Source organism: Homo sapiens, chromosome 4 (genome assembly GCF_000001405.40).
Source record: "Homo sapiens chromosome 4, GRCh38.p14 Primary Assembly".
Taxonomy (NCBI): domain Eukaryota; kingdom Metazoa; phylum Chordata; class Mammalia; order Primates; family Hominidae; genus Homo; species Homo sapiens.
This window is the reverse complement of record NC_000004.12, coordinates 145581218-145592249: the sequence shown is the minus strand read 5'-3', so window position 1 is coordinate 145592249 and position 11032 is coordinate 145581218. Positions and strand designations below refer to the sequence as shown.

Here is an 11032-nt window from a genome sequence, read left to right as displayed (position 1 = left end):
TTTTTACAATCTACCCATCTGACAAAGGGCTAATATTCAGAATCTACAAAGAACTTAAACAAATTTACAAGAAAAAAATCAAACAACCCCATCAAAAAGTGGGCAAAGGATATGAACAGACACTTCTCAAAAGAAGACATTTATGCAGCCAAAAAACACATGAAAAAATGCTCATCATCACTGGCCATCAGAGAAATGCAAATCAAAACCACAATGAGATACCATCTCACACCAGTTAGAATGGCAATCATTAAAAAGTCAGGAAACAACAGGTGCTGGAGAGGATGTGGAGAACTAGGAACACTTTTACACTGTTGGTGGGACTGTAAACTAGTTCAACCATTGTGGAAGACAGTGTGGCGATTCCTCAAGGATCTGGAACTAGAAATACCATTTGACCCAGCCATCCCATTACTGGGCATACACCCAAAGGATTATAAATCATGCTGTTATAAAGACACATGCACATATATGTTTATTGCGGCACTATTCACAATAGCAAAGACTTGGAACCAACCCAAAAGTCCATCAATAATAGACTGGATTAAGAAAATGTGGCACATATACACCATGGAATACTATGCAGCCATAAAAAAGGATGAGTTCATGTCCTTTGCAGGGACATGGATGAAGCTAGAAACCATCATTCTGAGCAAACTATTGCAAGGACAGAAAACGAAACAGCATGTTCTCACTCATAGTGGGAATTGAACAATGAGAACACTTGGACACGGGGTGGGGAACATCACACACTGGGGCCTGTAGTGGTGTGGGGCAAGGGGGGAGGGATAGCATTAGGGGATATACCTAATGTAAATGACGAGTTAACGAGTGCAGCACACCAACATGGCACATGTATACATATGTAGGAAACCTGCATGTTGTGCACATGTACCCTAGAACTTGAAGTACATATATAAAAAAAGAAATAAAGCTGCAATGAACATTAAAAAAAAAATCTGTAGAGAGCACCACCACTTTCCCAAAGATGATGCTAAGTATTTCCTTGTGCCACCCAAAACTCTATTTGTAATTATGTTCATATTTCAAAAGCTCTTGGAGATCAATAGAGATGGACAATTACACTCTGCTGGTGGAAACACTGTTTCTCAGGGAGGAAAGAATATTGGTGAAAGACAGACATTTCTTCTTTAGCCTTTTTCAGTGATCCAGATGAGATTTCTCTCTCAACTGTTAGTCATATCTTACCTTTATTTTCTGCCTCAATACCACCCAAAGAAATCATAGTGGAGTCAGGTTTTCTGTGAATTTAGCTAAACCACACCTGAGTACCAACTCTTTGTCCAGGGGAGAGGGACGGCCCCTCTGATGAAATAATGAACTCACCTAGACTTGAGGACCAAGTGGATCAATGACTTGAAGCTCCTGAAGGTAGAGAGTTTACTCCAAATTAGGAATTAAAACTATGAGCATAATCAACGATAATTCAAAAATAAATTAAAAGATGGAAGTGTAATTTTATTTTAAAAATACACGAGCATTTAATTCACTTTGAGATAGTGTTTCCAAACTATAAACATTTTCAATCAAGCGCAAGAATAAGCACAAACTGATAAACAAGGGATTAAAGATAACATGCTTCAAGAAGCAGAGCTAGCCTAATTCTAAAAATCATTTTGGGGTACTGACCACATATAAGTTCCTCTTTCAATCTGCCAAATCACTCAGGCAACCTAAGATATGTTATCATTTCTAGGGACATTTTTATAGACAAGAAAATAATCTTGTGTTTCCTCAAGGAGGCTTTTATTGCCAATAAATACAAAACACACACACACACACACACACATACACACATACATACACACAAACTTCCACCCAGTTTCATGAAGGATATTTTAAAAGCAACAGTTAACACTATTGCAAATTAACATTTTAGAAACTTTCACAATTTAAAATGAGTCCAGGAGCAAAAATCCCAAAAGAATACTTAATTAATGCTCAAAAATAATTGTTTCTTGAAACTCTGTTCTTTAGCCAACACATCTCCCAGAAACAAGACCAATGTATATTTGTCAATATGATGTCATTTTAAGTGCAAACAGAAATATACAAAGATATGAGGTCATTTTATGTGAAAACACAATATATTTCTGTGTCTTACTCATCACTTAACAGATTATTTCATCTGATGTCTTCATTTTACAGATGAAAAAATCCGTCCCAAGGAAGCTGAGTTGAGTTGCCCAGGGTCATATAGTCATCTGTTGACAAATCTGAAACTAAAATGTCTCCCAGGTCTCCTGATGCCTAGGCTGGATTTAACTATCTTTCACGATTAAACCTATCTGTGTAATAACAGTATACATACATATTTATAAAATGCACAATGGCCCTTATTGAAAATTGTGCTCCTCATAAGTCAGATCCTCCTGAAAACCTTCACCTATCCTTCAGACTTGGTCAGCTACCCCTTATTCACTCTTACAGATGTATGTATTGTTTCAGCAAAGCAGTAACCCCAGATGTAATTTTACATTTAATTATTGTATTAGTCTGTTTTCATGCTGCTGATAAAGACATACCTGAGACTAGGCAATTTACAAAAGAAAGAGGCTTTTTGGACTTACAGTTCCACGTGGCTGGGGAAGCCTCATGATTATAGCAGAAGGCAAGGAGGAGCAAGTCACATCTTACATGGATGGCAGCAGGCAAAGAGGGAGCTTGTGCTGATCAAACCACCAGATTTTGTGAGATTTATTCACCATCACAAGAACAGCACAAGGAAGACCCTCCCCCACAATTCAATTACCTCCCACCATGTCCCTCCCACAACACGTGGGAATTCAAGGTGAGATCTGAGTGGGGACAGAGTGAAACCATATTAATTATATAATCATAAGATTGTAAACTCTATGAAGCCAAGAAATATGTGTGATTTTGTTCACCATTATATCTCAAGCACTTGGCATAGTATCTGGCATGAAATAGATGCTTAATGAACTATTTGTTTAATGGATGTTGATCATTTGTGTTGGTGACTTTACAAGGTTAACATTTTTTTCCATGTTGAGGACATGGGCAAACTGTCCTATGGCTTGTGGCTGTGATGATGCATGGCAGCACTGGGGTGCTTCCGACTGGTCTGCTAAAGACTATTAATAATTTTTCTATATCTGCCAATAGGAATCTTATTTATTTTTGTCTGTGGCTGTGTTTCCTGTTCTTCAGGGCACAGTGAAGCCCCATTTGCCTCAAGTTGTTTTTCTAATGATTTTCCTTTGCCCATATCCTGAACCAATTTCTGGTGTATCAAATTTCCACAGAAGACTGTACTCAAGATGGCAGACCAAAGCACACATGCTGATCTACAGCTCCCCTTGAGAGTCTATTAATATTATAGTAATTTAAAATGAAAAAAAGAATTTTCCAGCAATAATAATAATAATAATAATAAAATGGCAAGGGACACTTCCACTGATAAGAGAGCTCAACACATTTCTGAAATGTGTGAAGAGAATGGCGAGTGTTGGCCATGAAGCAGACAGGAGGCAGGAGCCACCTAGAAAATAGGCAGTGAGGGCTGCAGCTGTGGTAAGGAGACTGGAAATGACATATCACAGCACAGAAATGAGAAGTGAGGCAGAGAACAGAAGGATTAATATAGAGTACAATTCTCCCACCTCCCTCCCAATTCCATCAGAATTGCTTGCAGAACTGTGACAACCCAGCAATTACTCCAAGACAAAGATTCTTCCCCAACAAACTCTCTGGGAAGAACTAGGGCAGCCACCACGGAGCTTAGAACCCTAGAGCAAAACCCTGATAATTTTGGCCTTAGGGATCCCCTAACAATGGCTGTGAAGGGAAACTTGATGGTCAGAAAGTCCCTTTGCCCATATTCAGAGCTTCTAATCAGCCTTTCTATCCCTCATTCTTTAGGCTGGCCAGGAGACTGGGGCAGAATACTAGAGAACAAGTACAGTATAATAAGATAGTAACATAACAACCAATCCCTAATTAATGTCAGAGGGCGTATTTCCCACTGCCTGACATCTCAGGCGCCTACCTCTTGCCCACTTCACCCACAGTCAGTGCAAATGGAGCATCAACTTGACTGCTGTGTAAGGGAACCCGGGAAAAAGGACCATTTTGCCAGTGACCCCAATTCTATTTGAGTGTAACCACCCACTGCTGGGGATTGAGGCTGTTGTTGGAAATGTCCTAGGTTTTATTTCCTCATTGCAATTTCCTGGCAGCCCTGCTCCAAGGCTAGATGAAATCTTCACTCTTGCCAGAGCCATTCTCAATAAACATTTGCTGAAGAAATGCTTGCTACCTGAATGAATGATCAGAAGCCGGAAAAATCAGCTTTCAAAAGGAGCTTAGGAACAAGCAGGTCAGCAATTGGAGGTTGGGGGAAGGCTGGGAAATTGAGGTGGGTACCTTGGGGAAATAGGGAGGTACAGATAACAACTGCATTCTCCCAGTGTTTTCCTTCCTTCTCCTCCTCCTCCACTCCCTACTCCTGCTTCCCTACTTCCCCTTCTCCCCATCCCCTTCTCCTTCTTCTCCTTTTTCTTTTTTTTGTTCTTGTTGTCATTCCTTACCCCTCTTCATTTTTCCCTCCTTTCTTGTCTTCCTTTGCCCCTGGCCTGGGCTGTGAAGCCTCCTCGAAGATCACCCCTCCTGCTCCACTAGTTTTCCTCTGTGTTTGCAATTTACATGCATTTGCCCCTCCTGTGTACATAATGCTAATGCTTTACTATATTTGCATAATGCTCCTAGACTTTCCTTCTGATCGTTTCCCCTCCAGACTATCTTTTTTTTTTTTTTTCCTTTTCTTCTAAGAATTCCCATGGAGGGAGGACTGGTTCCATCCTCCCTTCTCCCCACTAGCTCCTCCCCACCACTCCCCAAGGTTAGATGTTTCATAGTGATAGTAGCATATGTCAATTAGCTCTTCTGCAACTGGAAGCTTTTTCACCTTCCCTTACCGCATTTGAGCACTCTGAGTGAGATTAGTTCTGCAATAATGCCATACTTTAAGCAGAATCACTGTAGGCAGTGTGCAACCTGGGAAGAACTTCCTGTTCTCCTTTAGTATTGTAGTTGAACCTCTGAACTGTATATAGTTGAACCTCTTCTTTAAAATCTTACAAATAAGAAAACAATGTAGTACATTTATTTTATAAATTAAAAAATACAGCATAACAACTATTTACATAGCATTTACATTGTAGTAGGTATATAATTAATCTAGAGATGATTTAAAGTACATAGGAGGATGTGCATAGGTTATACACAAATACTATCCATTTTATATAAGGGACTTGAACATCTGGGGATTTTGATATCTGAAGGTGTCCTGAAACCAATCCTTCTGCTATATGCCTCAGATACGGAGAAACACTGTATTTAAAAGCCAAGAAAATGGTTACAGCAAATAAAATGGTTACAGGACGATAGGCTGTTTTCATTGATACATCAGCAATTGCATCAAGGCTGTAACTCTAAAAGGGGGGCATATTCCATGATAAACAGAAACACATAACCTCTTTTTGCTATTCTAAATCAAAAAGCAATGATGTTTTTCTTTCCAAAAGCATAAAAATGGAATTGAAACAGGAATTTCCCTGGGGAACTTCTGACTGTCATTTCCTACAGAGAAAACCAAATATTGAAATGCATAGTTCCTTTTAAAGAGTTAAATAGCTTAGCTCGTGTATAAATAAAGCAAATCATCACTATTTTAGAAAGAGCCTATGAAACTACCATTTTAAAAGCTCAAACGCAACTCAGTAATTTTATTATAAAATTTGCATTCTGACCTGGTACAAATGTAAAAGGAATTTAAAAGCATCTTCAAATTGTAGAGAGCCAGGGAGATATAGGTATCATAGTATAGTTATATAATCTGGTGTCAAACGGAGATCAAATATAATAAGCCTAGTATTTACCCCTAATTTTAAAGTGCTACCCTTTGATATTATATTTAACTTAGGACAAATGGAAACACTGCCATCAATTTCAGAAGCCTTTCCAACAGAACTGCCAGAGCCTTCAGGCTTCTTTGGTGGGACAACGACGTGGCCAAGAAGTGGAAAGATCCCTGGACATTGGGATCTAGACACAGATGTGACACTAAAGTGCCGTGAGGCCTGGGAGAAATCACCTAATTGCTCAGGCCTCAGTTTCCTCCATAGAGGTGGGAGGAGTGGATATTGGGCCAGATCTTAATGTTTTATCGTCACAGATGGCTTTGGGAATTTAATGAAAGCTATGGGCCTATCCACCCCCACCCTTTTAGGGAAAAGACACCTTGATATATACACAGAATATTTTACATGCAATTTCAGGGTCTCATTTTCTGGCCATTAATGCCTCCCAGGGACCATCAAGGGATTGTAGAGCTGCATCATCTCTCTGGTCCCTTGTTCTCTCTCCTATGCCTGTATACTGGGCCTCCTCGGTTTAACTGTGACCGAGGCTGGGCCACATCTTTCACTCTTTTGAGAACTCCATGATAGTGTTAAGGTTGAAAATATCCTTGGTAAAATCTTATCAAGTTTAAGGACCGGGAGTGGTGGCTCACACTTTTGTGAGGCCAATGCAGGAGGATCACTTGAGGCAGAAGTTTGAGACCAGCCTGGGCAACATAGAAAGACCTTGTCTCCAAAAAAACAAACAAAAATCTTGTTGAATTTAATGCATGTAAATATTCACCTGAATTCATGTATCTCCTGTTTTTGCTGAACTGTATTCTAAAGAGATAGAATCTAAGAATCCCAAGGAAGGAAAGTTCAGATCTCACATTCAGACTGAGTGAGCCTTCCTTGCAGACAAATTGAGTCATGTTCAACCCTAAAAAAATGGAAATCATATATATATTTTCTGAGGTGGAGTCTCGCTCTGTCTCCCAGGCTGGAGTGCAGTGGTGCAATTTCGGCTCACTGCATTCACCGCCTCCTGGGTTCAAGCAATTCTCGTGCCTCAGCCTCCCAAGTAGCTGGGATTACAGGTGTGTGCCAACATTCCTGGCTAATTTTTGTATTTTTAGTAGAGATGGGATTTCACCATGTTGGCCAGGCTGGTATCAAACTCCTAACCTCAAGTGATCCACCTGCATCAGCCTCCCAAAGTGCTGGGATTACAGGAATGAGCCACTGTGCCCAGCCAAAAATCATATTTATAATAGCCTTTTCTGAGAGGTCTGTCTACTCCTGCACAAAGAGTTTATATAGCTTCAGGTGAGTCCACTTTTTCATTCAAACAAACATTTATTGAGTGCTTATCATATTCTGAGCCCTGGAGTAGCACTGGGAATCCTAAGATAAATGAGATATGGCCCTGGATTCAAACAGCAGCTAGCAGAGTGGGAGAATATGATTAGAAAATTACACAAGGACTGTTTATTGCTTGGAATGGTGCATGTGAAACGGAGAGCACCCACCACTGCCTGAGACAGGCATCAGGGAGGCCTCAAACATTTTTTAAAGGATGAGTTAGAATTTTCCAGGCAGCAGGAGAAGAACCTCTCGGCTGTGTAAGAGCCAGCGGTTGTTAGTACAGCCTGGGTGAGGTGTGGCTAGAGCTTAGCCATGTGTGCGGTCATGCTAGGAGGATGGGAGGACTATAAAGGGTCCCTACACATTTTGCAAGTAAATGGCATTTTTAAAATCTCATTGCACATGACATATAGAGGGACAAGACCTTACTGAAGGATTTTCACCACAGTAGAGTGATACAATTGGCATTTTGGAAAGATGGTGTGAAGGATGGACTGGAGATGGGGAGGCTGGAGCAGGTTAACACACTTTACTCACATCTCTTTGTAGATCCCCTTGAGGAAAATATCCACTTGCCTGAGCACTATGCTTATACTTCAATTTTTGATGCTGACAAGCCTTTTTGTGCTAATTGGTAACCAGGGTTTGCTGGGAGGAATCTGACCTCATATCCATCCACTATGATTGGTTGGTTTTTATCCCCAGTCTTGATAAGATATCACATAAGCTTTTATACCTCACATTTGTGCCCACAAATATGTTTTAACTAATTGGTATAAAAGAGCTTGCAAATATATTGTGAATGTCAGCTTCAGTTAGCCTTAATTTGCCACCTCTGAAATGGTGGCCTGGGTACCACAGATGCTATAGGTTGGCTCAAATGTTTTAACACTTTAAACACTTTATTTCACTGGGCAAAACTTGACAGTTTTCTATCTTATAGAATTAGGAATGCTATTTATATATTACCAAGAGGATGCTCACTACATTGCCTCATCTTATTCATTCTTTCATTCCACAAATATGCACTGGGCCCCTACTATATTCCAGGCAATGTTCAAGGCACAGTGGACACACTGTTGTGTAAGACAAAAAAGGTCCTTTATCAGGTGACAAGTGCCAAAGAGAATTCAAGTAGGTGATGGGATGGAGAGTGCCTCAGGGTGATACTCATGAAGGAGCCATCCATGCAAACTGTCGGGAGGAGCACTGTAGGAAGAGGGAATAAATAGCTTGCGCAAAGATTTAGACTGCTCCCTTGTGGTTTGCATTCATTTCTGTTGATTTTGCCTTAAGATTGTTATGACAACCATACTCTATGCATTGGGAAATAATCTGTGGCTTCATACAGAAATGCACTCATCCCTCAATGGATGAGTATAACTAGTCCAAAATTTTTGCTCATAATCCTGGACTGGTATTGTCAATCAACCATTAGTTATTGTTAAAGGAGTAATTTCATAAAGAAATTTATAATAAAGTGCTTCGTATTGCCACATGTCAATACTCAGGCATGTCTTCACTAGAAAGAATGAGAAGCCATCAAATGATTGCCCGTTTAGGTGGAATCGCTGTGCATGTGCAGGAATGTTGCAATAGTGGCTCAGATACAGCCAGTAGCTCCTCTAAGGGTGAGGTGATTTTCTGAAATAGTAAACATTTCTAGACAAATTTTGAAACAAAACGAAGTACATCCTTTTCTACATTGACACAGTCATTGCATTCCTGGAAAATTCCATGTAAGTACTTTGTATTTAATATATAATATTGCATAATGATCCAGGCTCAGATAATGATTGGCAGGCAAAATGAAGGACCTTCTCACTATAGTGGGATATCTAGCATTCCTGACCCTGCCTGCTAAATGCCAGTTGCAGCCCCCCTTTCCAATCATTTCAACAATAAAAATTGCTCCCATGAAATTCCAAGCACTCCTCAGGAATGAGAACCACTGAACCACTGGAAGGAGTTTGGATTTATTCAAAGTACTATGGGAATCCACTGGAAGATTTTATTCTGGGAAGTAACATAAACTGATTTGCATTTTTCAGAGTGCTCTGGATGTCGTGTGAGAAGTGATGGTAGCAGGGGCAAGAGTGGTGGCAGGGAGACTTTGGCAACAGATAACTAGCCTCAGGCAAGGCAGCAGGCAAGGAGCAGAGATGGAAAGAAATTCATAGATTAAGGATGTTTTCAGGGTGGAGGCAACAGGTTTTACTGATGGTGTTGATGTGAGATGAGAAAAGATTTTTGGCTTTAGCAACGGAGAGAATGATACATACCTTTATGGAACCTAGAAGAAATCCATGGCTTTTGTCTTCTTAATGTTTTTAAATTTAACATGGCCCACACTGAACTCATGATCCCCATGCCACTCCCAAGTTTGAGATGACAGCCATGTGGAGATGTCAAGTTAGATATATGAGTTCCTGTGAGATGCTCTGGCTGGAGACACATCTGGGAGTCAATGGTACACAGAAGGCATCCAAAACCACGGGATTGGAGACGTGAGGTCACCTTGGGAGGGTGGGTGGATGGAGGAGAGAAAGGCAGCCAGGACAGAGCCTCGGGGACCTTCAACACTACTAAATGAGGCACACTCTTCTATTAATTACTCCATTAAGAGAAAGACTGAGGTTTTTAACATTAATTTTAATGGGAATACTCAATGATTGATGACACCAGTTTTGGCTTATGAACAGAAATTTTGGAACTAATTATACTCATTTATCAAAGCATGAGGATGGACTTCTTCATGAATTTCAAATTATTTCCCAATGCATAGAGTATGGATATCATAATAATCTTATGATACCAAAGTAGTAATTAATGTTTGGATTAAGAGCAGGCTACATAAGGGAGGTCTTGGACTTACGGTCTCATGAAAAATTACAGATAAAGTCCATTAATCAGTATTTATTGGTCACCCACAGAACAGGCTGTGAAATTTTTCAGTTTAAAAATTACTTTCACATTTTCTAAGGGAACTTGATAGATTCAATTTTCTAAATTAAAAAAAATTAACAGCCTTATTGAGGTATAACTCTCATACCATACAATTTTAATCTTTAATTTGAAGTGGTTACAGTGCATTTTCAAATAGACATATGTAAGTTAGAAACTAAATTACCCTGCCAGCTTAACAAAACATAAAACAGCAATTACTGTTTATTAGGCATCAACTTAGGTGACAGGTACGATAAGCAGCATTTAATTGATCCCAATCCTCCCAGCATCCCTGAAGAGTATATCTTCCATTTTACAGAGAGAAAATCCCACCTCAAAGGATCTGGAGAACTGGCCAGAGATCACCCCAGAAGAGAGTACAGGAGCCAGGATTTGGACGCAGGTCTCTCTGACTCAAATCCTTTTCTCTTTCCCTTACTTCATCCTCCCCCTCATCTCCTGAAAATTAGAAGCCGGATCCTGGAATACACACAGAAAACCCTCCACCCATTTTAAGGATACATCAAGATCAAAACTCATTGATATTGTAATCTTACTAGTTTGAACTTTAAAACATTTTACTGCCATATGGGGACTGGCTTCAAAGAAATGTTTTAGTGGTGTTACGTTTAATGCCTTGTGTTTATGTAGAATTACATATCCTATAAATGTTAGTTTGGCTTATCTTGTCTCCTCCCTCTCAAAAGGACCTATGCCAATTTAAGATTCTAAATATATTTAGGCAAGTGTTGGAGGGTGGGTAGGAAAATTAGTAGGGACATGAGTTAATGGATTTTACTAGGTACAAGTGAGTTAATATATGCTGACTGGAAAGG

At 39.8% G+C, this 11032-nt stretch overlaps 1 long non-coding RNA gene across 1 annotated transcript; it reads left to right on the top strand.

Annotated features, from left to right (window-relative positions):
* The first annotated feature begins 4219 nt into the window (after positions 1–4219).
* Positions 4220–10804, top strand: LOC285422 (uncharacterized). Its single transcript, XR_939280.2, has 3 exons — positions 4220–4360; positions 5966–6169; positions 10516–10804. It is a non-coding gene; the product is annotated as an uncharacterized LOC285422 (long non-coding RNA).
* Positions 10805–11032: the final 228 nt, after the last annotated feature.